The following is a 27,213-nucleotide window of genomic DNA, read 5'->3' as shown; positions in this document are numbered from 1 at the left end:
TAAAGCTTGAAATCATATAGAGTTAGTTAGTTTTTAAAAACTGGTGTTTTTTTGTTTCCTTTTGTTTGCAGAGACAGGGTCTCACTATGTCACCCAGGCTGGTCTGTGGTCTGGAACTCCTGGATTCAAGCGATCCTCCTGCCTCAGCCTCCCAAAGTGCTGGGACTATAGTCATATGCCATGGTACCCAGCCTAGTTTTAAGTGTAGAGGTCTTGCTTATCTTTGGCTAAATTTATTCCTAACAAGGTTTTTATTCTATTAAAAGTGGATTTTAAAAAAATTTTCATTTTCCCATTGTTTGTTGCTAGAACATAGAAATAGAAATGGTTTTTGTATATTCACTTTGTATCCTGTTACCTTGGTAAATCCACTTCATTCTAGTGGTTTTTAAAAGATTCTGGCCAGGCACAGTGGTTCACGCCTGTACTCCCAGCAGTTTGGGAGGCCAAGGCAAGTGAATTGCTTGAGCTCAGGAGTTCGAGGCCAACCTAAGAAACATGGCGAAACCCCATCTTTACAAAGAAGTACGAAAAATTAGCCAGGCATGGTGGCACCCACCTGTAGTCCCAGCTACTTCTGAGGCTGGAGTGGGAGAATCACCTGAGCCCCAGAGGTGGAGTGAGCCATGATTGCCACTGCACTCCAGTTTGGGCAAGAGAGTAAGACCCTGTCTCAAAAATAAATAATAAATAAAACATTTTTAAAAGGGGTTATTTCATTCAAGTTGTCAAATTTATTTCCATAAAGTTGTTCACAATAAATACTCCTTTTTATCATCTTAATACATAACAATCTAAACTGATATCTACTCTTTCATTACTAATAATTGGTAATTTTTTTTTTTTGAGACAAGATCTTGCTCTGTTGCCCTGGAGTACAGTGGCATGATCTCGGCTCACTGCAGGCTCCACCTCCCAGGTTCAAGTGATTCTCATGCCTCAGCCTCCCAAGTAGCTGGGATTACAGGTGTGCACCACCACGCCTGGCTAATTTTTTGTACTTTTAGTAGAGAAGGGGTTTCACCATGTTGGTCAGGCTAGTCTTGAATTCCTGGCCTCAAGTAATCCACCGGCCTTGGCCTCCCAAAGTGTTGGGAATACAGGTGTGAGCCACCATGCTCAGCCTGTATTTTTTTTTAATCAGTCTTGATACGGTTTTATCAATTTTATTATTTTTTCAAAGAATCAACTTTTCGCTTTGCTATTTTTCTCTGGTGTGTGTGTGTGTGTGTGTGTGTGTGTGTGTGTGTGTGTGTGTATTTATGTATTTTCTTTTTTTTTTTTTTGACAGGGTGTTATTCTGTCATCCAAGCTGGACTGCAGTGGTGCAATCATGGCTCACTGCAGCCTCTATCTCCCAGGCTCAAGGGTTCCTCCCACCTCAGCCTCCCAAGTAGCTGTGACTACAGGCATGCCCCACCACACTGAGCTAATTTTTTAAATTTACTTTTTGTAGAGATGGGGTCTCACTATGCCAGGCTAGTCTTGAACTCCTGGGCTCAGGCGATCCTCTTGCCTTAGCCTCCCAGAGTGCTGGAATTACAGGCATAAGCCACTGCTCCCAACCTCTGTGTGTTTTCTATTTCATTAACTTCTGCTCATCATTATTTCCTTCCTTTGGACTTAACTTGTTCTTTTTCTAGCTTATTTTATTTTCTTCTTCTTAGGCCGGATGCCATGGCTTACCCTGTAATCCCAGCACTTTGAGAGGCCGAGGCGGGCGGATCACTTGAGGTCAGGAGTTCGAGACCAGCCTGACCAACATGGAGAAACCCCGTCTCTACTAAAAATACAAAATTAGCTGGGTGTGGTGGCACATGCCTGTAATCCCAGCTATTTGGGAGGCTGAGGCAGGAGAATCACTTGAACCCGGGAGGCAGAGTTTGCGGTGAGCCAAGATCGTACCATCGCACACCAGCCTGGGCAACAAGAGTGAAACTCCGTCTCAAAAAATAAAATAAAATAAAATATTTTCTTCTTTTTTTGACAGGGTCTATGTCACCAAGGCTGGTCTCGAACTCCTATGCTCAATCTTTCCACCTCAGCCCCATGAGTAGCTGGGACTACAGGTGCACAGCACTGTGCTGTTTCTTTTCTTTTCTTCTTCTTTTTTTTTTTTTTGCACTATAATCCACATAATATAAAATTCACCATTTTTAAAATTAATTTATTTTTTGAGACAGGGTCTTGCTCTGTCTCCTGAGCTGGAGAGCAGTGGCAGGATTGCGGCTCACTGCAGCCTTGACCTCCCAGGCTCAAGCAATTCTCCAGCCTCAGCCTCCCAAGCAGCTGGGACTACAGGCACGCACCACCACGCCAGGCTAATTTTTGTATTTTTTGTGGAGATGGGATTTTGCTATGTTGCCTAAGCTGGTCTCGAACTCCTGAACTCAAGCCATCTACCCGCCTCGGCTTCCCAAAACGCTGGGACTATAGGCATGAGCCAACATGCCCAGCCTCTAAAATTCACAATTTTAAAGTGTAAAATTCAGTGATTTTTAGTATATTCACTATGTTGTGCAACCATTACCATATCTAATTCTGTAACATCTTCATCAACCCAGAAAGAAACCTGTGCTTAATGGCAGTCAGTTCCAATTCCTCCCTGGCAACCACTAATCTGCTTTCTGTCTATATGGATCTGTCTATTCTAAAATTTTCATTTTTATAATTAATTTTTTACAATTTTTTTTGAGGCAGGGTCTCACTTTGTTGCCCAAGCTGGAGTGTAGTAGTGCTTACTGCAGTCTTGGCCTCCTGGCTCAAGGGTTCTCATGCCTCAAGATTACAGGTGTATGTCACCACGCCTGGCTAATTTTTTATTTTTTGTAGAGAGGATCTCATTATGTTGCCCACGCTGATCTCCTGGGCTCAAGCAATCCTCCCACTTCAATCTCCCAAAGTGCTGGGATTACAGGCATGAGCTACCATACCCAGCCCTGAAAATTTCATATAAATGGAATCATTTTGTGTCTGCTTTTCTTCACTTAGCATAAGGTTTTCAAGGTTTATCCATCTTGTAGCATATAACCACTTCATTCCTTTTCATGGCTGAATAATATTCCATTATAGGGATATACCACATTTTGTTTATTCATTCGTGAATGGACAGTTGGATTGCTTCCACATTTTGGCTAACACTGTTATGAACATTTGTGTACACATTTTTCTATGAACATGTTTTTGATTCTCCTGCGTATATACCAGGGAGTAGAACTGCTGGGTCATATGGTAATTCTATTTAACTTTTGGAGAAACTGCCAAACTTCTTATAGCTTCTTAAGGTAGAAACATAGAATTATTAATTTAAACCTTTCCACTGGGCACGGTGGCTCATGCCTGTAATCCCAGCACTTTGGGAAGCCAAGGTGGGTGGATCACTTGAAGCCAGGAGTTTGGGGCATGAGAATCGCTTGAACCTGGGAGGCAGAGGTTGCAGTGAACCGAGATCCCACCACTGCACTCCAGTGTCCCACTCTGTCCCTCTGACCACTGCCCCCCCAAATTTAAACCTTTCTCTTTTCTCATGTAGGTACTTTAAGTTATCCACTTTCCTTTAAGTACTTCTTTAGCTGCACCACACATATTTTGATATTCTGTGCCTTCATATGCTACAGTTTGAAATATTTTCTCATTTGTGTTTTCTTCTTTGATTCATTAGTTATACAGAAATACTTTTTTTTTTTTTTTGAGACAGAGTTTCACTCTTGTCACCCAGGCTGGAGTGCAATGGCATGTTCTCAGCTCACTGCAACCTCTGCCTCTTGGGTTCAAGTGATTCTCCTGCCTCACCCTCTTGAGTAGCTGGGACTACAGGTATGTGTCAACATGCCTGGCTAATTTTATTTTTTGTAGCGACAGGATCTCGCTATATTGCCCAGGCTGGTCTCAAACTCCTGGCCTCAAGCAATCCTCCCTCCTCGGCCTCCCAAAGTGCTGGGATTACAGGTGTGAGCCACCATACCTGGCCTAAAAATATATTCTTTGGAAATATATTCTTTAATTTCTAAACATTTGGGGACTTTCTAGATATGTTACTATTAATATTATTTGTCTCTAATTTAACTTCATTGTGATCAGATGATCAGAGAGTATTCTGTAAGGTTGTCTGGGGTTTTTTCCCTTTTTTTTTTTTTTTTAAATAGAGACAGGGTCTCACTCTTTAACCAGGCTGGAGTGCAGTGGCACAATCATACTCACTGCAGCGTCCAACTCCTTAGGCTCAATCTTCCCACTTCAGTCTCCCAAGTAGCTGGGACTATAGGCACGTGCTACCATGCTCAGCTAAGTTTTTTACTTTTTATGGAGATGGGGTCTATCTATTTAATATGTTGCCCAGGTTGGTCTTGAATTTCTGGCCTTAAGCAATGATTTTAATCTTTAGAAATATATTGAGACTTATCTTATGGCCCAGATATAATCTAGCTTGGCTAATGTTCTATGTGTGCTTGAAAAAAAATGTAATCCCAGCACTTGGGATGGTGAAGTGGGCGGATCACCTGCAGTTATTTGGTGGAGTTTCTTGAATGTCAACTATATCAAATTGGTTGATGGTATTTTTCAGGTTTTCTATATGCAGCTGCTTTTTTGTCTAGTTGTTCTATTAATTGCCAAAAGAAGGTTTTCTTTTTTTTGAGATGGAGTTTCACTTTTGTCCCCTAGGCTGGAGTACGATGGCATGATCTTGGCTCACTGCAACCTCTGCCTCTGGGGTTCAAGTGATTCTCCTGCCTCGGCCCCCCCGAGTAGCTGGGATTACAGTCGCCTGCCACCACGCCTGGCTAATTTTTCTATTTTTCGTAGACATGGGGTTTCACCATGTTGGCCAGGCTAGTCTAGAACTCCTGACCTCAGGTGATCCACCTGCTCTGGCCTCCCAAAGTGCTGGGATTACAGGCATGAGCCACCGCGCCCAGCCCAAAAGGTTTTCAAATCTCTGACAATTGTGCATTTGTTGGTTACTTATTTATTTATTTATTTAGAGATGGAGTCTCACTCTGTCGCCCAGGCTGGAGTGCAGTGGCACAATCTTGGCTCACTGCAACCTCCACCTCCCAGGTTCAAGCGATTCTCCTGCCTCAGCCTCCCAAGTAGCTGGGATTACAGGCCTGCGCCACCAGGCCTGGCTAATTTTTGCATTTTTAGTACAGATGGGGTTTCACCATGTTGTTCAGGCTGGTCTCAAACTCCTGACCTTGTGATCCGCCCGCCTCAGCCTCCCAAAGTGCTGGGATTACAGGTGTGAGCCACAACACCTGGCCTATTTATTTATTTATTGAGACAAGGTCTGGCTCTATTGCCCAGGCTGGAGTGCAGTGGTGAGATCCTGCCTTATTGCAACCTCCACCTCCCAGGCTCAAGCGATCCCTCAGCCTCCCGAATAGCTAGGACTACAGGCGCCCGCCACCACGCTCAGCTAATTTTTTTTTTTGAGATGAAGTCTCGCTGTATTGCCCAGGCGGAAGTGCAATGATGCGATCTTGGCTCACTGCAACCTCCACCTCCCAGGTTCAAGCAATTCTCCTGCCTCAGCCTCCCGAGTCGCTGGGATTACAGGTGCCCACCACCACGCCTGGCTAATTTCTTTGTATATTTAGTAGAGATGGGGTTTCACCATGTTGGCCAGGCTGGTTTTGAACTCCTGACCTCGAGTAAGCTGCCCGCCTCGGCCTCCCAAAGTGCTGAGATTACAGGCGTGAGCCACCGCACCTGGCCTTTTTTTGTACTTTTACTAGACACAGGGTTTCACCATGTTGGCAAGGGTGGTCTCGAACTCCTGGCCTCAAGTGATCCACTCGCCTCAACCTCCCAAATCGCTGGGATTACAGCCACTGTGCCCAGCTGATTTTTCATATTTTTTTGTAGAGATGGGGTTTTTAAAAATTAATTAATTAATTAATTTTTTGAAACAGAATCTTGCTCTGTGGCCCAGGCTGGAGTGCAGTGGCACGATCTTGGGTCACTGCAACCTCTGCCTTCCGGATTCAAGCGATTCTCTTGCCTCAGCCTCCCAAGTAGCTGGAATTACAGGTGTGCACCACCATGCCTGGCTAATTTTTGTATTTTTAGTAGAGACAGGGTTTCACCATGTTGGCCAGACTGGTCTCAAACTCCTGACCTCAGGTGATCTGCCCACCTCGCCTCCCAAAGTGCTGGGATTACAGGCACAAGCCACCATGCTCAGCTGGAGATGGAGTTTTGAGGGAAGATCCTTTGAGCCTGGGAGCCCAGGAGGCTGAAGTGCAGTGAGCTGAGATCACACCACTACACTCTGGCCTGGGTGAGAATGAAACCTTGTCTCAAAAAAAGAGAAGGGGAGGGGAGGGGAGGGCAGGGGAATCATAAAAGTATATTTACTATTAAGTGGAAGTGGATCGTGATAAAGGTCTTCATCCTCGTCGCTTTCACGTTGAGTAGGCTGAGGAAGAGGAATGGTTGGTCTTGCTGTCTCAGGGGCAGCAGAGGCAAAAGTGGTGGAAGGGGAGGCAGGAGAGGCAGGCACATTCTGGTGTAACTTTATGGAAATACATTGTAACTTCTGTCTGACATTTTTGCTTTTTCATTTCTCTAAAAATGTTTCTATATAGCAGCAGTCCCAACCTTTTTGGCACCAGGGACTAGTTTTATGGAAGACTTTTTTCCCATAGATGGGGTTAAGGGGGTAGTTTCGGGATGATTCAAGCACTTTGTATTTATTGTGTGCTTTATTTCTATTATTATTACATTGTAATATATAATGAAATAATTAGACAGCTCACCATAATGTGGAATCAGTAGGAGCCCTGAGCTTGTTTTCTTGCAACTAGATGGTCCTTTCTGGGGTGACAGAAGACAGTGACAGATCACCAGGCATTAGATTCTCATAAGGAGCTGGCAACCTAGATCCCTCACACGCACAGTTCACAATGGGGTTCGCTCTCCTGTGATCTGACAAGAGGTGGTGCTTATGTGGGAATGCAAGTGATGGGGAGCAGATGTAGATGCAGATGAAGCTTGTGTTCGCTTGCTCACCCGTTGCTCACCTCCTGCTATATGGCCTGGTTCCGGTGGCCTGGGGGTTGGGGACCCCTGCTATATGGTATTAATCCTTCTTCCACTGTTTGATTGAGTTTCAGTGCCTGCATCACAGAAGGGTCCATGTCATAAAAAATGTCAAAAGTGGTCCTGAATAATCAGAACCCTTCTTCTAGACTAATGTTAATTATTTTCTGCCACTGCTGCTTCTACATCTTCTTCTTCATCTGGCACAGGTTCAGAAGCACTCATCTCTATCGAGTCATCTTCTGTTAATTCGTCTTGGGTGGTGTCTATTAAGCTCTTCAATTTTTCTGAGATCCATATCAAACCCTTCACCCCATCTTTTTTGCCATATCCACAATCTTTTTCATGATTTCCTTGCTTGGCTTTATCATCAATCCTGTGAAATCATGCATAACATCTGGACACAGTATTCTCCAGGAGGAATTTATTGTTTCAGGCTTGATGGTTTTCATGGCTTTTTCCATAACAATGATGGCATCTTCAGTGGTATAATCCTTCCAGACTTTCACGATGTTCTATCAGGGTTCGCTTCCATAGAGTTGACAGTCCTTTCCATAGAGTACCATGTATATGTGTAATGAGCCTTTAAGGTCCTTACGAACCCCTTGATCTAGAGACTGAATTAGAGACGATGTGTTTGGAGACAAGCAGACCACTTTGACACCTTCGGTATTGAACTGATGGGGTTCAATGCCAAGGGCATTGTCCAATAACAAGAGAATTTTAAAAGGCAATCCCAGGCCAGGTGTGGTAGCTCTCGCCTGTAATCCCAGCACTTTGGGAGGCCGAGGCGGGCGGATCACTTGAGGTCAGGGGTCTGAGACCAGCCTGGCCAACATGGTGAAACCCTGTCTCTACTAAAAATACAAAAATTCTCTGGGCATAGTGGTGCGTGCCTGTAATCCCACTTACTTAGAAGGCCAAGGCAGGAGAATTGCTTTAACCCAGGAGGTGGAGGCTGCAGTGAGCTGAGATCATGCTACTGCATTCCAGCCTGGATGACAGAGCAGGACTCCATCTCAAAAAACAACAAAAAAAGGCAATCCCCTTACTGACAAGGTACATCCTGACTTCAGGGACAAAGTATCAATGAAATCAATTCAGAAAAAGGGTTTTCGTTGTCCAGGCTTTCCTGTTGTACAACCAAAAAATTGGCAGCTGGTGTTTTTCTTTTCCCTTCGGCTTGGGGGTTAGCAGATTTATAGATAAGGGCAGCCTTCATCATAAACCTGACTGCATTTGCACAAAACAATAGAGTTAGTCTCTTTTCTTTCCTAAATCCTACTGCTCACTTCTCTTCCTTACTAAGAAAGGTCTTTTGTGGTTTTCTCTTTTCTTCTGCATTAAAAACCTGTTCAGGCAGGTACCTTTTCTCCTCCTCTTTTTTTTTTTTTTTTTTTTTTTTGAGACAAGTTCTCACTCCCATTGCCCAGGCTGGAGTACAGTGGCACAATCACAGCTCACTATAGCCTCAACCTCCTGGACTCAGGTGATCCTCCCACCTCAGCCTCCTGAGTTGCTGGGACTACAGGCATTTGCCAACACAGCTGGTGAATTTTTTGTATTTTTTTTTTTTTTTTTTTTAGTAGAGATAGAGTTTCACCATGTTACTCAGGCTGGTCTTAAACTCCTGAACTCAAGCAATCCACCCACCTCGGCCTCCCAAAGTGCTGGGATTATAGGTGTAGGCCACCGCGCTGGGCCTCAGTTATTTTCTTATTGGCATCTCAGAACTCATCTTTTGTCTCTTGGAAGGTAAAAGGTGCTTTTCCTGTTATCTTGACCTTTTTTTTTTTTCTTTTGAGGCAGAATCTCACTCCCATCACTCAGGCTGGAGTGCGGTGGCACTAACACAGCTCACTGCAGCCTCGACCTCTCGGACTCAGGTGATTCTCCTACCTCAGCCTCCCAAGTAGCTGGAACAATAGGTGCATGCCACCATGCCTGGCTAATTTTTAGGATTTTTAGTAGAAATAGGGTTTTGCCATGTTTCCCAGACTAGTCTCAAACTTCTGGGCTCAAGCAGTCCTCCCATCTTGGCCTCCCAAAGTGCTAGGATTATATGCATGAGTCACCGCACCCAGCCTCTCTTGACATTTTTAAAGCCAAACCTCTTTCTAAAACTACCAAACCATCTTTTGATGGCATTAAGCTCTCTAGCGTTAGATCCTCACCTTCCTTTTGCTTTAAGTTGTCATATAATGACTTCACTTTTTCTCACATCATATTAGAGTCTACATGTACTCCTTTCTTATAGCAACCCTGCACATAAAAGGTGAATTTTCAATATGAGATAAAAAGTTATTTTGCAAAAAGTGCAAGATTTTCACACCTCCTGGTATAGCTTCACCAATTTCCTTTATTTTTTTTTTTTTTTTTTTTTACAATAGTCCTTACACTGACTATTGAAATAGTGGGCAACCATAGGTACAGACCTCAATCTGTGGAACATATCAAGCAATTCAGATTTTTCTTGAAATGTCATAACTTTTCTCTGCTTCCTGGAGTGCTCCCAGCATTAACAGTGGCACTTCATATGGGTCCTATGCTGAAATTCAAGGTCGATGGCATTGCACGAGACAATGAAAACTCCATGAGAACTGCAAGAGATCACCTTTTTACTGCAATAGGCAAGTTACTAGATAGACAAACTGCTCATGCAGAGATGATTAGTGTCACAGCATTTTAAGTGGATACTCGAAACAACTGAACTCAATGCAACAGCAACAGGAGGTGGTTATGAAATTATTACAGTAGTACAGTATGTACTAATTTTATGCAGTTATGATTTAATACGGCATCAAAATTTTTCTTTTTTTTTGAGACAGGGTCTCCCTCTGTCACTCAGGCTGGAGTGCAGTGGCATGATCATGGGTCACTGCAACCTTAACCTGGGCTCAAGCGATTCTCTCACCTCAATCTCCCAAGTAACAGGGACTACAGGTGTGTACCACCATGGCCAGCTAATTTTTTAAACAATTTTTTTGTAGAGACAGGGTCTGGCTATGTTGCCCAGGCTGGAGTGCAGTGGCATGATCACAGCTCACTGTGACCTCAAACTCCTGGGCTCAAGTGATCCTCCTGCCTCACCTTCCTGAGTAGCTAGGACTATACGCACGTGCCTCAAGTGATCCTCCCAGCTTGGCCTCCCAAAGTGCTCTGATTACAGGTCTTGGCCACCTCATCCAGCCAATTTTAACTTCTTATAATAGATTTATCTATATTTCATTGTAGTAAGTGATAAAATAGACCAGTAGCTATACTTGGTGCATTCATGACATACCGAACTTTCTCTTAATTTTTCAATATTTCTAGGCTATGTGGTTTGTTTGTACATTTTTCAAATTGTTGCAAATCTCTAAAAAAAAATTCCAATATATTTATTGAAAAAAACCTGGCTGGGTATGGTGGCTCACGCCTGTAATCCCAGCACTTTGGGAGGCCAAGGCGGGTGGATCACGAGGTCAGGAGTTCAAGACCAGCCTGGCCAAGATGGTGAAACCCCATCTTTACTAAAAATACAAAAAAAATTAGCCAGGTGTGGTGGCAGGTGCCTGTAATCCCAGCTACTGGGGAGGCTGGGGCAGAGAACTGCTTAAACCCGGGAGGCAGAGGTTGCAGTGAGCCAAGGTCATACCACTGCACTCTAGACTGGGCAACAGAGCAAGACTCCGTCAAAAAAAAAAAAAAGAAAAGAAAGAAGGAAAAAGAAAAGAAGGGAAGGGGAGGGGAGGGGAGGGAAGGAACTTGTGTGGATCCAGGCAGTTCAAACCCATGCTGTTCAAGGGTCAACTGTATATTTCTTTTAGGTATTATATAGTTGGATCTTGATTTTTTTTTTTAGACAGAGTCTCACTCTGTCACCCAGGCTGCTGTCTTTTAGTTGGAGTATTAAATTGGAGTGTTTATATTGAAAGTAGTTATTAATATGGTTGGGCATAGGTCTACATTAGTTTGCTGGAGTTGTGCTATGGTCTGAAGGTGTCCTCCAAAATTGATGTGTTGAAAGCGCAGTCCCCAACGCAATAGTGTTAGAAGGTGGGGTCTTTTTTTTTTTTTTTTTTTTTGAGATGGAGTCTTGCTCTGCTGCCCAGGCTGGAATGCAGTGGCACAATCTCAGCTCCTTACAACCTCCATCTCCCAGGTTCAAGCGATTCTCCTGCCTCAGCCTCCTGAGTAGCTGGGATTACAGGTATGTGCCACCAAGCTTGGCTAATTTTTGTATTTTTAGTAGAGACAGGGTTTCACTAAGTTGACCAGGCTGGTCTTGAACTCCTGACCTCAGGTAATCCGCCCGCCTCAGCCTCCCAAAGCGTTAGGATTACAGGTGTGAGCCACCGCACCCAGCCTAGAAGGTGGGGTCTTCTAAGATTTTTTAGATCATGAAGACTCCGCCCTCATGAATGGATTAATATCACTATGAAGAGGGCTTGTGGGAGTGGGTTCACTCTCTCTTGCCCTTCTGCTTTTCTGCCATGTGAAGACACAGAGTTCATTCTCTCTTGTTCTTCTACCTTCTGCCATGTGAGGACGCAATCAGAAGACTTGAACACTTTTGGAACTATGAGAGAATAAATTTCCGTTCTTTATACATTATCCAGTCTCAGATGTTCTGTTACAGCATCACACAACAGACTAAGACAGGTTGCCATAACAAAGAACCACAGATTGGGTAGCTGAAACAACAGAAATTTATTTTCTCACAGTTCTGGGGGCTAGAAGTCTGAGATCAAGGTGTTGAGAGGGCTGATTCCTTTTGGGAGCCATGAGAAAAGGATCTGTTCTAGGTTCTGTTCTCTCCCCTTGGCCTATAGATGGCTGTCTCCACATCATCTTTCCTCTGTATGTGTCTATATCTGAATTTTCTCTTATGAGGACACCAGTCATAGAGGATTAGCATCCACCCTAAGACCTCATTTTAACTTAAAACCTCTGTAGGCCAGGTGCAGTGGCTCATGCCTGTAATCCCAGTACTTTGGGAGGCCGAGGCAGGTGGATTATCTGAAGTCAGGAGTTCGAGACCAGCCTGGCCAACACAGCAAAACTCCGTCTCTACTAAAAATACAAAATATCTCCAGGTGTGGTGGTGTGTGCCTGTAGTCCCAGCTACTTGGGAGGCTGAGGCAGGAGAATCGCTTGAACCTGGGAGCCGGAGGGTGCAGCAAGCCGAGATTGCGCCATTGCACTCCAGCCTGGGTGTTAGAGCAGGACTGCATCCAAAAAAAAAAAAAAAAAAACACCTCTGTAAAGATTCTGTCTATAGGCCGGGTGGCTCATGCCTGTAATCCCAGCACTTTGGGAGGCTGACGGGGGCGGCGGATCATGAGGTCAGGAGTTCGAGACCAGCCTGGCCAACGCAGTGAAACCCCGTCTCTACTAAAAATACAAAAATTAGCCAGGTGTAGTGGCCCGTGCCTGCAGCCCCAGCTACTCAGGAGGCTGAGGCAGGAGAATAGCTTGAACCCGGGAAGCGGAGGTTGCAATGAGCCGAGACCAAACCATTACACTCCAGCCTGGGTGACAGAGTGAGACTCCATCTCAAAAAAAAAAAATATTCTGGCCGGGCGTGGTAGGTCACGCCTCTAATCCCAGTACTTTGGGAGGCCGAGGCGGGCGGATCACGAGGTCAGGAGATCGAGACCATCCTGGCTAACACCGTGAAACCCCGTCTCTACTAAAAAAACAAAAAAATTAGCCGGGCGTGGTGGCGGGCGCCTGTAATCCCAGCTACTCGGGAGGCTGAGGCAGGAGAATGGCATGAACCCGGGAGGTGGAGCTTGCAGTGAGCTGAGATCACGCCACTGCACTCAAGCCTATGCGACAGAGTGAGAATCCGTCTCGGAAAAAAAAAAATTCCATCTGTAAATATTACGTATTATTAGGAGGATTACTTGAGCCCATGAGTTTGAGGCAGTATTATGCTATGGCTGCGCCTATGAATAGCCACTGCACTCCAGCCTGGGCAACACAGCAAGACCCTGTCTCTAAAATTAAATAAATAAATAAATAAAAATTACAAACACAATGAAATAAATAAATTAGGCAAGGATTATTAATGCTAAGGCCAATGGCTGATAGATTGCTGGGGAAAAGCATATTCGCATGGTCTCAACTTACCATCCAAGTTATTTATTTTTACACGTGGAAAAGAGTTCCTTGTCAATAGAGAGATCTAGCAGATACCATCTTAACCAAGTAAATAAACTCAGTATCGGCTGGGTGCAGTGGCTCATGCCTGTAATCCTAGCACTTTGGGAGGCCAAGGCGGGCAGATCACCTGAGGTTAGGGGTTCAAGACCAGCCTAGCCAACATGGCGAAACCGTGTCTCTACTAAAAATACAAAAATTAGCTGGACATGGTGGCGCATGCCTGTAATCCCAGCTACTAGGGAGGCTGAAGCAGGAGAATCGCTTGAACCCAGGAGGCAGAGGTTGCACTGAGCCGAAACCGTGCCACTGCACTCCAGCCTGGGCGACAGAGTGAAACTCCGCCTCAAAAGAAAAATAAAAATAAAAAATAAAATAAACACAGTATTATCAATAATGGGATAAAGCAACATTACATGACTAAAGTAATGCAACAAATAGGAAGAATATGTTATACAATATCCTTAGTATTCTTGTAGTATTATGTAGTATTCTTGCAAAAAGGCTTACCCTGAATCTAATTATAAGGAAATATTCAAAGAGACCCAAATTGAAGGATATCCAACTAGCTTGGATTCTTCAAAAATGTCAATGTCATGAAAAACAAAAAGACAAGAAGACTATTCTAAATTAAGGAAGAATCAAGAGACATGACGACCAAATACAATCAGTGATCCCTCATTCAATCCTGAATCAGATATTTTTTAAAGCTGTAATGGAAAACATAGGGATATTTAGAGAAATGTAATTATGATCTGTAGTCTAGATAATAATACTGCATTTTTATTTCTTGGTCACTTTGTAAAACAGTGTGGCAGTTTCTCACAAAGTTAACAGAATTGCCATATTATCCAGCAATTCCACTCTTAGTATGTACCCTAAAGAAGTGAAAGCAGTGACTCCGATACTAGTAAACCAATGTTTATGGCGGCATATTCACAACAGCCAAAGGCTAAAACATTCCAAACGTCTATCAGCAGATGAATGGGTAAACAAAATGTGGTCTATCCATATAAGAGAATATTATTCAGCCTTAAAAAAAAATTGAAATTCTGAACATGTGCTACAACATGGGTGAACCTTAAAAACATGCTAAGTGAAATAAGCCACACATCAAAGGACAAATAATGTGTGTCTCAACTTATATGAGGTAATTAGAAGAGGCAAATTCACAGACAGAAAGTAGAATTGAGGTTACCGGGGGGAATGGGGAGCTATCATTCAATGGGTACACAGTTTCTGTTTGTGATGATGAAAAAGTTCTGGAAATGGATGGTGGTCACAGTTACACAACATTGTGAATGTACGTAATGCCACAACTATATACTTTAAAACTGCAAAATAGTAAATTTTATGTATATTTTACCACATTTTTATTTTTTGTTGTTTTTTAGAGACGGTGTCTCACTCTGTCATCCAGGCTGGAGTGCAGCGGTGCAATCATGGCTCACTGCAGCCTCTCAAACTCCTGGGCTCAAGCCATCCTATTGTCTCAGCCCCCTGAGTAGTTGGGACTATAGGCAAGCACCAGTATGCCCAGTTAAAAAAAAAATTTTTTTTTGAGATGGAATCTCGCTCTGTTGCCCAGGCTGGAAGGCAGTGGGGTGATCTCGGCTCACTGCAACCTCCGCCTCCCAGGTTCAAGCGATTCTCCTGCCTCAGCCTCCCAAGCGGCTGGGATTACAAGTGCTCGCCACCACGCCAGGCTAATTTTTGTATTTTCAGTAAAGATGGGGTTTCACCATGTTGGCCAGGCTGGTCTCGAACTCCTGACCTCGTGATCCACTTACCTCAGCCTCCCAAAGTACTGGGATTACAAGTGTGAGCCACCGCGCCTGGCGTGCCCAGTTAATTTTTAACTTTTTTTTTTTTTTTTTTTTTTTTTTACAAATAGGGTCTCACTCTGTCGCTGAGGCTGGAGTGCAGTGGCAAGAACATTGCTCACTGTAGCCTCAACCTCCTGGGCTCAAGTGCTCTTCCTGCCTTGGCCTCCCAAAGTGCTGGGATTATAGGCATGAGCTACCACACCTGGCCTAATAATCACATTATCTTTTTTTTTTTCCTTCTTCTTCATTTTTTTCTTTTTTTTTTGAGACAGGGTCTCACTTTGTCACCGAGGCTAATTTTTAAATATTTTTGTAGAGATGGGAATCTCACTATGTTGTCCAGGCTAGTCTTGAATCCTGGCCTTAAGCGATCCTCCCACCTTGGCCTCCCAAAGTGCTGGGATTACAGGCATGAGCCACCACACTCAATCCCAGACTTTTTTTTTTTTTTTTTAAGAAAAGACTGGCCAGGCGCAGTGGCTCACGCCTTTAATTCCAGCACTTTGGGAGGCCAGGGCAGGCAAATCACGAGGTCAAGAGATCGAGACCATCCTGGCCAACATGGTGAAACCCCATCTCTACTAAAAGTACAAAAATTAGCTGGGCGAAAATAAATAAATAAATAAATAAATAATTAGCTGGGCGTGGTGGTGCACGCCTGTAGTCCCAGCTACTTGGGAGGCTGAGGCAGGAGAATCGCTTGAACCTGGCAGGCGGAGGTTGCAGTGGGCCAAGATCGCACCACTACACTCCAGCCTGGTGACAGAGTGAGACTCAGTCTCAAAAAAAAAGGAAAAGAAAGGATTGTGGTTATGTAGAATGATGTCCTTATTATGAGGAGATACAGACCAAAATATTTAGGGGTAAAGTGTCATAATGCCTGCAACTTATTTTCAGTTGGTCCAGGAAAAAAAGAGAGAAAAGAAAGAAACATGTAAATAATAACTGGCAAATCTAGGTGTAGGTTACATAACTGTTCACTGTACTACTCTTTCAACTTCTCTGCACTGAAATTTTTCAAAATAAAAAGTGCTCAAAAAATATTTTTAAATGGAGAGATGAATGGTGGAAGGAACCTTCCCAGACAGAAAGATAAGCATAAGCAAAGGTGAAGAGGTGGAAAAAGTTTTTCGAGAAACAGTCGGTAGTCTAGTTTGATGAGAGTGAAAGGTACATCGTAGGATGTTCTGGGAGATAAAGCCAGAAAGGTAGGCTGGCATCAGATTCATAAAAGGCCTTCAGCAAAAGAATAGAGAGTCTGAGAATGGCGTGAACCCCGGGGGGCAGAGCCTGCAGTAAGCCGAGATCGCGCCACTGCACTCCAGCCTGGGCGACAGCCAGACTCCGTCTCAAAAAAAAAAAAAAAAAAAAAAAAGAATAGAGAGTCTGGGCTGGGCGCAGTGGTTCATGCCTGTAATCCCAGCACTTTGGGAAGCCAAGGCGGGCAGATCACAAGGTCAGGAGTTTGAGACCAGCCTGGCCAACATGGTGAAACCCTATTTCTACTAAAAGTACAAAAATTAGCCAGGCACAGTGGCACGCGCCTGTAATTCCAGCTACTTGGGAGGCTGAGACAGGAGAATTGCTTGAACCCGGGAGATGGAGGTTGCAGTGAGCTGAGATCACGCCACTGCACTCCAGTGCAGAATAGAGTCTGTACTGCACTTGGCAGGCCATAGAGAGCACACCAAAGGCATTTAACACAGGAGTAACACATGCGAAGGGATGAATACGTCTGTGTAGTTAAGGTGCTCTGGACAGACTAAAGGGCATCACCAGCTGTAAAGTTATCACAGTAGCTGAGGCGTAGGAACAGGGACTTCGGCTGGGTAAAGGAAGTGGGGACAAAAGGCAACTGTTTTGTGAAGGACTATCAGAATCTGATAATTGATTAAATGTGGAAAGTCAGCGTTACCCTGAGATTTACAACTGGGTATAGGAGACTATTGATAATGGAAAAGTCAGCAGGAGGGGCTGGTTTGGAGCTCAAGACTCAGAGGTGAGCTGTAAGAAAAAAGAATGAGTTTAGTTTTATCCTAGGCTTCCTGTCAAATGGATCCTTCACAGTTCCTTGTACTCAAACAAGGGTCTAGCCAGAAACAGAATTCTCCTTCCAAGAACAGCTCCTCCATCAGACCAGCCTCACCTGGCCCCACAACCCAGTCCCAGGGACCATTAGGCCCTTACAGCTACCCTGGGCCCCTGGTGCCTTCAGTTATTCTCCGACAGCATCCCTTCCACCTAGTTCCTTCCTATCTAGCCTCCATGTACTTCCAAGTCTTCTTTCCCTAACGTCTTCTCTTATCTGAGTCCTTTTTCCTTTTGAAGAGGAGAAGAATCAGAGCTATCTGCCCAGAAGCGCAAGTCCTGCAGCATGCAGGCCAAGATGGGCACCCGTAGGAAGCTCAAGTGCAGATAGGCCAGGCAAGCATATGTGCCCCTAGGGTCAACAGCTGCTGCTTGCACTACCTAGAGGGAGGAGAGGAGGGAAAGAGGGAAGAGAGGAATGAACAGGGCTGAGGTGGAGGGTGAGGGTGAAGCTGGAGCAGGATGGTGGGGTAGGCAAGTGAGGACCACCTGTGGATCTTGCTGCATATAGGCCTTGCTATACACAGCCCCACCCACCACAGGGATATTCGGGAGTAGGGACGGGGGATCTCTGCTTATCAGCTCAGGCATCCCATTGACCCCAAAATGATTCCATTGGTTGCCTCCAAACCACATGCTCTAGGCCCCATGGCACTCAGCCTCCCTCCCAATTTCCCATTTCTGTGTTGAAAATAAGAGCTTTGGGTTGGCAGGAGTGAGGACATTCTGAGAAGGCAGAGTTCAGCCTGGCATAGGAACATTTGGGATGATCAGATCTCAGACGGTGGACAGAGCTGCGGGAGGCATCTAGCTGAGCCACCAGGCAGGGTGGAGGGTGTGAAAAAGGTCTCTCGAGGGCCATCAGAGGATGGGAGTCGGTCTGCCAAACCAAGAGAGGAGCTGCACAGCAGTGTGTGCTGCCTGGGGAGACAGGCTGCTGCTGTTCTGGGCAAAGCAGGCCAGCTCCAAGCCTTCTCAGGCCATATGAAGATAAATTAGGTAGGATGCATATAACCAGCTCCCTCTCCCCAGGGGCATCCTCCTTTACCCAAACCTGTCTCCCACCTCCGCCTCCATGGCTCTGGCTTGAGTTATGCCAGCAGGTGGGACCCTGCTTTAGCCTTTAGCCTGAGCCTTTACATTCCCTGCCGCACTCACCTTCCACCTTTACCTCTGTGGCTCACTGAGCTGCTCTGCCAGGGCTGCCAATGAGATGGGGTCGCATAGGGTGTAGCATTACTATCCAGGCCAATCCCATCAGGCAAACTTTTGCTAACTTCCTTCCCCACCCAGTGGGAGAACAGTTTTCCTATTCCTGGTTCTCTAACCCAGATACAGAATCCCCTGAAGTCTCACAGCTACCCAGGGTGCCTATCTGGGAGAGGGTGCACCTGGCAGAGTCAAGGGGAAGAGCACAAGTTCTCAGTGCCCTGAGAACAAGTCAGCATGTACTGAGAGCATGAGAGTGAGAGAGAAACTCAGATCAAACTTGTCCAATGACAGGCAGAAGCTGTGCTGAGATAAGACGCTGAGGAAAATGGGCAGTAAATTCTAGCTGAAATGGGAACAAAGGAGAGTCTTGGTCTAGTTTCAGGTTAACCTAGGACCGTGCTCTCACTAGCAGGCAGATGGCACCCTGTCAGTGATTATGGAGGTGGTGGAAAGATCACTGCTCTCAGTGGCATCATTTAGTTCTTTGACCTACAACCTAAGAAATCAGATCCCTCACGTGGAAAAGTGAAAGTCACAATACAAGACCTTACAGCTGTTGAGGTCAAATGAGATCACATGTAAGTGCCAGTGCTTAGTAAACTGTATAGGACCATAACGCCCTTGAAGTAGGTGGACAGAGGCCTCCATGGCAGGCACTGGGCTGTCATAACCTCTTATCAAGTACCAGGCCTGGAGCTACTCAGGCTTCACATGCACTTAGCTATAAGGAAATCCTGATACACACTGCAGGCCCTTACCTGCAGCCTGTGGAGCGGGAGTGAAGTGGGAAAGGAGGATGAAAAGGAAGAACCATTCTCTGGAGAGGGAGCACGGGCTGCCAGAAGGATGGTGTAAAGGCTCACCTTGAGTTGCGTCTCCAGGAGAAGGAGCATTTGTGGCCCCCAGATGTCCTCCAGCATCCCATATCTAGGGACAAAAAGGACAGCCAGTTGTGCTCTATCCCCTGTCTGGTTGCACCTGCTTAATCTCTCCCCAGCTTCCTTGTTCTAAGGATGACTCCACCTTCTGAGCAACAAAACATTCCACGGGGAATCTAGACCTTGGATGAATTAAACAGGACTTGGGAGGATTTGCCCTGTCCTCAAGCCATTCTCCTTTCAACCTTTTCTACTTTTGCTATCCCAGCTCCTGAGGTCATTCTCCCCTCCACAGGCCATTAGACACCTGTCTCTAAGGGGTCTCCTTCAAGGCTAGCTCCTAGGGCAGGTTCAGCCCTGGACAGAACTGGAGAATGGCAGGGCCCTGGCTGAAGTCAGCTTCCTTCCTGTGCAGCAGCGGCAGGCCTTGGCAATCTGCTGGCATGGTGGACACAGTTTCCCACTCCCAACTGGGTCACAGATGGGAGAGAAATCTCCCTAGGAAGGAGCCATAGAAAAAGAAAAGCCAAGAATGGACACAAGAGTCAAGGGAGTGTCCATCACTGGCCTGAGGACTGCTGCATGGTCCTATGCTTCCGTTTCCTTCCCTCATGGTTCTTCACCTTAGTTCCAGGGAAAGAGGCTCACAAACCCCCTATCCATTGATGAGACCTTGTTCCCTGGGCTCTCAGCTGGTACTGTGCCAAAGATGCCAACAATATGGCCCTTGCCCCATAATCATCTGCCCATTCGCTTCCTTCCCCTAGAAGAATGGCTCTGAGACAGCAGGTGAGTCTAATAAAAGAGCTTCAGGGTAATATAGAGACCACAGCTCCATTCCTCTCTACAGGAAACTCATAGCCCCTATTCATTCACTAATATTTACCATGGCAACCATGTGCCAATCAGGGGAGGAAAACGCTGACCAAAATCTAGTCCCTGCCTCCCAGAAGCTCACCATTTAATCAGGGCTGCAGATAGCTCTTCTTCATGTATCTCAAAGCTATGGAATGGGTGCCCAGAATATCTTTTCCCTACTTCTTGGCATATCCACATTGTTTACATGCTTTAGGAGGTTCAGAAGCTGTCTTCTTGATTCTCTCATTACACAGTGTGACTCGACAGCGATCTCTCCTGCCTCTGAATCTTCAGAGCAGTAACCTGGACCTCTCTATGACACATCACTTTCTACTTGAATTTTATATGTTTTAAATGCATAATTGATCTCCTCTACTAGACTGTATTTCCTGAGGGCAGAGAGTGTCTTATACATCTTCATATCCCTCACAGCACCCTGCACAGTTCCATGTACACAGTAGGTGCTCAAAAAATATTCATGGAAAGCCAAGCGTGGTGGCTCACACCTGTAATCCCACCATTTTGGGAGGCTGAGGTGGGCAGATCACCTGAGGTCAGGAGTTCAAGACCAGCCTGGCCAACATGGTGAAACCTCATCTCTACTAAAAATACAAAAATTAGCCAGGCATGGTGGCGTGTGCCTGTAATCTCAGCTACTTGAGAGGCTGAGGCAGGAGAATCGCTTGAACCCAGGAGGCAGAGGGTGCAGTGAGCCGAGATCACACCACTGCCCTCCAGCCTGAAAGACAAAGTGAGACAAGACTCCGTCTCAAAAAAAAAAAAAAAATTTCACGGAATATAGCTTCCATATAAAGATGTTTGTTGGACGAATGAAGGCTTGTTCGTGAAATTATTGGATGTTCCCAGATTTTTAAAATACTTTTTTCATTAATTTAAAACTCCTTGTTACAATTTTCTCAATTAACACAAAGCTTGAACTCAATGCAAGCAGCATAGAATTCTTACGCATTCTTTATAACCATGAAAGTAACCAGTCTTATGTAAATACATAATTCTATATTCAGCTGTTTTTGCATCATAAGTACTCACATCCTCTATGAATCTTAAGTATCCACCCTACTATGTGGCATTAAGCCTGCATCCTCCCTAAATGCTGTGTGGTAACGCTATAATTCAGCCTACAGCTGAAGGGAGGCAATACACTGGCCTTGAGCATCCAACCTTGGGTGAAAAGACTCAAGTTTCCCCATCAAAATCAGCCTATAAAACCATCCTGCCTAGCCAGGTGTGGTGGCTCACGCCTGTAATCCCAACAATTTGGGAGGCCGAGGCGGGCAGATCTCTTGAGGCCAGGAGTTTGAGACCAGCCTGGCCAACATGGTGAAACCCCATCTCTAACAAAAAATACAAAAATTAGCCGGGAGCGATGGCACACGCCTGTAGTCCCAGCTACTCAGGAGGCTGAGGCACGATAATCGCTTGAACCCAGGAGGAGGAGGTTGCAGTAAGCAGAGATCACGCCACCGCACCCCAGCCTGGGTGACAGTGAGACCCTGTCTCAAAATAAACAAACGAACAAAAAGCAAAAAACCGCCCTGCTTAGGAGAATGAACTTGCCCAGAAATAAAGTGAATTCAAAAATTAAGAAAAGGTCTTATGGTGGCTAGGGACTATTGTAGAAATTATCAGAAACGATAGTTGGGACCTGGGATAGCAGTTCCTCTATGCAGTCCCTGGGCTAAAAACTTACATGCGTCATCTCATTTAATCCTCAAAAACCTGAGGTAGTATTAACATTATCCCCAATCTTGCAAATGAAGAAGCTGAGTCTCAAGAGATGTCCTAACTTTGCCCAAAGTCACAAACCCAAGTTTCTCTGACTCTAGATCCCAAGCTGAGAGTCTTGCTCAGATCATCCCAGGTCCCCTTCTTTCTTCTTGCACTTGGGGTGCAATAAGGGGCAATGGGGCCAGCAGTGTGTAACATACTGCACCGTAGGAAGAGACGTTAGGATCATCGGTCTCAGCCTCCGTATTTTACAGAGGAAGGAACTCGTAGGTCACACAGAGCCAGGGGGCTGCTCTGCAACAGAATCTCAATGGACACTAGAATTCCAGTCCAAGCCCCATTTTACAGAGCGTGGGAACTGAAGCCCACCGGGCCTGGGGGCCTCCCGGGTTCCGAATCCACCAGCGGCTGAGCCAGATCCAGCCCCGGGCGCACTCACTGCCCTGTCTGATTCTACCTCCGCGTTCACCTGCGCCGCGAACCCTCCCCGTGGGCTGCCAGCGCCCGGGAGTACCTGTCGGCCGCGCGCAGGCCCTCGGCTCGGGGTGACAAGACGCTGGCGCGGGCAAGCGGGGCTTCGCGGGCCACAGCCAGATCTCGGCCTCGAGGACCCGGGTCGCCACGCCAGCCCCTTTCCTCAGAACGCCGAGGCCTCAGGAGCGTGTGCGCGCCGGGACGCCCCAGAGAATTTGGAAGCGCTGGTCCCGGAGGCAAGGCCGGCTTGGTCTCCTCTCCTCAATCCCCCGACGCCATCCCCTGGACCTTCTGCAGACCGGGTCCCAGCCCCAGCGCACCTCAGGAAGAAACAACACCTTCGCGCTTAGCTGAGTCAAGCGGCCAGGACTCTAGAAGGGGCGAGGTTCCCATGGCAACGAGGGAAACTCTTTGCGCCTGCGCAGAGGCGCTCGGCACGCTGGGAAATGTGGTTTCCGGGTTGTCCCTGGAGGCTAAGGGAATGGACACAAGGTGGCGCGCGAACGTTGCGGTCGATGTGGCTAAGCCCGGGTCCCCAGCTGCCGGGCGCTGCGGGCGCAGGAGAGGCCGCGAAGGTCTGAAAGGTAGTTTCTCTGAGGCGTCTGGGATGCGGAGTGAAGAGAAGGAGGCACAGTCTCTTCAGCGCGGTTGATTTTGCCGTTTGAAAACTTGGCCTAACAAGCGGCAGCCCTGGCTAGGGCGAGGGCAGTTGCTTCCGAGGCCCCGCCCCAGCCTGGGCTGAGCCGGGAGCGGCCGAGGGAGGGGGCTGTGACGGTGGGAGCTGGTTCCGGAGGGAAGCGCGCGACGGTCGTGCTGCAAGCGTTCCAGGTCCAGGCTGGGCGACCCCTCGCGCTGCTGAGAGGCTCCTATGCCCGGTGGGAGTTGAAGTCGGGCTCCGGGAGCAGCAGTCATCCTGATCCTCCCACCCGCGAGCTCCAAGCACTTCTGGATCCAGGTCCCGCCTTGGGCGGAAATGTGCAGTCAGTTGACTGCCCAGGAGCCACCTTCCCCGCTCCCGCGTTAGTCTCTTGGAATGAGAATCTAGAAACCTAGGATCTGATTCCGGCTCTGTTAGAGATTAGTAGTTACTTCTCTGAGCCTCAGTTTCCTCATTTCTAGAAAACGATGGTATTGGGGCAGGCGCGGTGGCTCACGTCTGTAATCCCAGGACTTTGGGAGACGGAGGGGGTGGATCACCTGAGGTCAGGAGTTAGAGACCAGCCTGGGCAACATGGCGAGACCCCCTCTTCTACTAAAAATATGAAAATTAGCCAGCGTCGTGGCACAAAAAAAAAAAAAGAAAAGATTTTTTTTTTTGGAGATGGAGTCTCTCTCTGTCGCCCAGGCTGGAGTGCAGTGGCACTATCTCGGCTCACTGCAAGCTCCGCCTCCCGGGTTCACGCCATTCTCCCGAGTAGCTGGGACTACAGGCGCCCGCCACCATGCCCGGCTAATTTTTTTGTATTTTTAGTAGAAACGGGGTTTCACCGTGTTAGCCAGGATGGTCTCGATCTCCTGACCTCGTTATCCACCCGCCTTGGCCTCCCGAAGTGCTGGGATTACAGGCGTGAGCCACCCCGCCCGGCCACAAAAGTGCTTTATAAAGCATTACCTGGAATGGGGGCGGGGGGGAGCCCTCAGACAACCTAAATGTTCATCAATAAATGACCACTTAACTGATGGATTCCATAAAATAGAACATGTGTGGTTATTTTTTAAATGAGGCAAATCTTTTATGTACTATTTGGGGGGAAAACTCAAATGGCGTTTTTCCTCTGCTCTCACACCATCACAATTATCAACACGTAAGACTTTGGTGACCAAAGATATTGGGTTGGCCAGGCGCAATGGCTCACGCCTGTAATCCTAGCGTTTTGGGAGGCCGAAACGGGTGGATCACCTGAGGTCAGGAGTTCGAGACCAGCCTCGCCAGCATGGTGAAACCCCCATCTCTACTAAAAATACCAAAAAAAATTAGCCAGGCATGGTGGTGGGCACCTGTAATCCTAGCTACTCGGGAGGCTGCGGCAGGAGAATCGCTTCAACCTGGAAGGTGGTGGTTGCAGTGAGCCAAGATTGCGCCATTGCACTCTAGCCTGGGTGGACAAGAGTGAGAATCCATCTCAAAAAAAAAAAAAAAAGGTGTGGGGTTTTTCTCCCCACACACCAAGCAACAGACCAGCTGGGTGGCCTCCAATTCAATTCCAACTCTGTCTACCGGGAGATAGTGTCGGATCGCACAGGTTGAGGCTCAGCCCCCAAGACTGCATCTCCCTCCCCTCAGATCCCAGTCAAAAGTCCAGGCCTCCAGAACTTCTGCCTGACCAGCTTCAAGTTGGGGTTCCCACGATCCCCTCTTTCGGTTTGATTAATTTGCTGGAGCAGCTCACAGAACTCAAAGAAACACTTACGTTTAGTGGCTTATTATAAAGGATACTACAAAGGATAAAGGTGAAAAGATGTGCACGGGGGAGGGTGCGGAGTGTGCACACCCTCCCTAGGTGCACCACCGGGGAGGAACCTGCACATGGTCAGCTACCCAGAGCTCCAAGAAGCCAGTCCTCTTGGGTTTTTAATGGAAGCTTCATGACATCAGCATTCCTTACACCAGGGTATAGAGTGAGGAGGAGGGTCTCTCTGGGGAGGGTCTTATAACCCACAATCTGAAAGTGAGGGTGAACAGTAGAGCCCTGCCTTGGGGCAAGGGAGAGGAGGGCAGAATGTCAAGAGGTTGTTTCCTGCGGCCTGCTCCTGAGGCCTGACACACTCAACATTAGAACAAAAGACTGAACAAGGGCTATGAGGGTTATGAGCCAGGAGCCTGGATGAAAACCAATGTATATATAACACCACGGTACCGATGTGGAACTCTGATATGAACCAATTTTCAAAGTGTAGAATAGTATGTTAACATGCTATTGTCTGTATTTTTAAAAAATACACATACCAATATATTTGATTACATAAGCATGGGGTACCTGGAGGGCATCAAAGGCAGCTGGTAACAAGTCATTGCCTGAGTAGATGTGAAGGACTAGAGGACAGAGTAGGAGTGAGATTTACTTTTCATTTTATATCCTTCTTATTATTTTTTGCCCCTTTAGCAATTTGGGTGAGCTTTGTGTATACATAGGGTTTTTTTTATTTTTATTTTTTTTTGGAGACGGAGTCTCACTCTGTCACCCAAGCTGGAGTGCAATGGCGCAATCTTGGCTCATTGCGACCTCAGCCTCCCAGGTTCGAGCAATTCTCCTGCCTCAGGCTCCCAAATAGCTGGGATTACAAGTGCACGCCACCACACCCAGCTAATTTTTGTATTTTTAGTAGAGACAGTGTTTTGCCACATTGGCCAGGCTGGTCTCGAACTCCTGACCTCAGGTGATCCAACCACCTTAGCCTCCCAAAGTATTGGAACTACAGGCGTGAGCCACTGCACCCAGCCAATAGGGTTCCTAATTGTTTGTAGTTTTGTTTTGTTTTGTAGAGATGGGGTTTCACCATGTTGCTCAGGCTGGTCTCGAACTCCTGGGCTCAAGCAATCCGCCTGCCTCAGCCTCCCAAAGTGCTGGGATTACAGGCATGAGCCACCACACCCGGCACCCTCTTGTCTGTATTTTTGATGCGGTTTCCCCTCCAGTCTTCATTTCCCTGTTTGCTGACTTCTTACTTCTTAGAATCCTCCTGGATTCTAGTGGATTCTAGTGAGCCCCACAGCTCTGAGTTCCTGATTGGACCTGCCTTCTGAGATGCACAGGCTGCAGGAGGGGCAGGGCCTGGCCTTGGCTTACCCCGACACTCTCACCACCACCCCACCCATCTGCAGCCCTAGGCCAGGAATACTGAAAGGGCAGCCTGGGTAGGACTCCTAGTTGGCCACAGAGTGGGGGGTAGCCCCCAGTGTTTGCTCAGCAGGATGGATCAAGAATCAGAACTAGCTTGCATGTACCCCACATCTTGTGACCCTTAGGCATACCACCCAGATAGGTGCCAAGGATTCCTCTTCTGGAAGGGAGGTAGAGGCTAATCTAGCAATGTCTAGATAGCATGTATTGTTAAAATGTATCAAAGTGTAGCCAGGCGTGGTGGCCCTGTAGTCCCAGCTACTCAGGAGGCTGAGGCAGGATGTCTTGAGCCTGGGAGGCAGAGGTTGCAGTGAGCTGAGATCACCCCACTGTACTCAATAATAAATAAATAATAAATAATATAAAATGCATCAAAGTGAAGAGGGGTACTTGGGGATTTCCAGGTCTAATCCCTTTATTTTACAGAAAGAAACAGAGACTCAAAGCAAAGTAATTCATAAGTGGTGAAGCTGGGGCTAAATCCAAGTCTCCTGCCACTGCGCACTTCAGGGTTAGAGCAGTGCTAGGAGTCCCACCAGGGCCTGGGTGAGAGATTCATTCTTAAAACTGGGCGTGAAGTCTCAGTCACTGAGAATGCTTGGTGCCAGCTCCCATCTCTAAGGACTGCTTTGAGGGAAGGAGTTGAATCCGGCCCCTTCCCCAAACCAGGGTAATGTATCATAGAGCAGAGAGCATACATAATCTTGGGAAGAGGGATAGAAGTGACAAAGATGGGCCAGGCGCAGTGGCTCACGCCTGTAATCCCAACACTTTGAGAGGTCGAGATATGCAGATCGCTTGAGCCCAGGAGTTCGAGACCAGCCTGGGCAACATGGTAAAACCCCGTCTCCACAAAAAATAAAAGATAAAAATTAGCTAGGCATGATGGCACATGTAGGTAGTCCCAACTACTCAGGGGCTGAGGCAGGAGGATCCCTTGAGCCCGGGAGGTTGAGGCTGTAGAAAGCCAAGATCATATCACTGCACTCTATTCTGGGTGACAGAGCAAGACCCTGTCTCAAAAAAAAAAAGGAAGTGACAAAGATACAACCACTTAGCTAGGTGTGCCTGTGGTCCCAGCTACTCAGGAGGCTGAAG

At 46.7% G+C, this 27,213-nt stretch overlaps 1 long non-coding RNA gene across 1 annotated transcript in view, besides 3 other annotated features; it reads right to left on the bottom strand.

The window, feature by feature from the left end:
* The window catches only part of LOC100130987 (uncharacterized), a 73,849-nt gene extending 51,177 nt beyond the window's left edge, over positions 1-22,672 (bottom strand). Inside the window, exons 1-2 of the long non-coding RNA NR_024469.1 lie at positions 22,314-22,672; positions 19,178-19,241 (exon numbers count right to left, since the gene is read on the bottom strand). This is a non-coding gene — a long non-coding RNA (uncharacterized LOC100130987). The remainder of the gene's footprint in view (positions 1-19,177; positions 19,242-22,313) is intronic.
* Positions 22,252-22,301: a silencer, noted in NCBI's record as "silent region_3623". NCBI's record gives its function as "represses an Ori minimal core promoter by ATAC-STARR-seq in GM12878 lymphoblastoid cells {active_cell/tissue: GM12878}" and the evidence as "EXISTENCE:reporter gene assay evidence [ECO:0000049][PMID:35858748]".
* Positions 22,522-22,951: an enhancer, noted in NCBI's record as "active region_5086". NCBI's record gives its function as "activates an Ori minimal core promoter by ATAC-STARR-seq in GM12878 lymphoblastoid cells {active_cell/tissue: GM12878}" and the evidence as "EXISTENCE:reporter gene assay evidence [ECO:0000049][PMID:35858748]".
* Positions 22,992-23,041: an enhancer, noted in NCBI's record as "active region_5085". NCBI's record gives its function as "activates an Ori minimal core promoter by ATAC-STARR-seq in GM12878 lymphoblastoid cells {active_cell/tissue: GM12878}" and the evidence as "EXISTENCE:reporter gene assay evidence [ECO:0000049][PMID:35858748]".

The sequence above is a fragment of the Homo sapiens genome, chromosome 11, assembly GCF_000001405.40.
Source record: "Homo sapiens chromosome 11, GRCh38.p14 Primary Assembly".
Lineage (NCBI taxonomy): Eukaryota > Metazoa > Chordata > Mammalia > Primates > Hominidae > Homo > Homo sapiens.
This window is presented reverse-complemented; position numbering and strand designations above follow the sequence as displayed.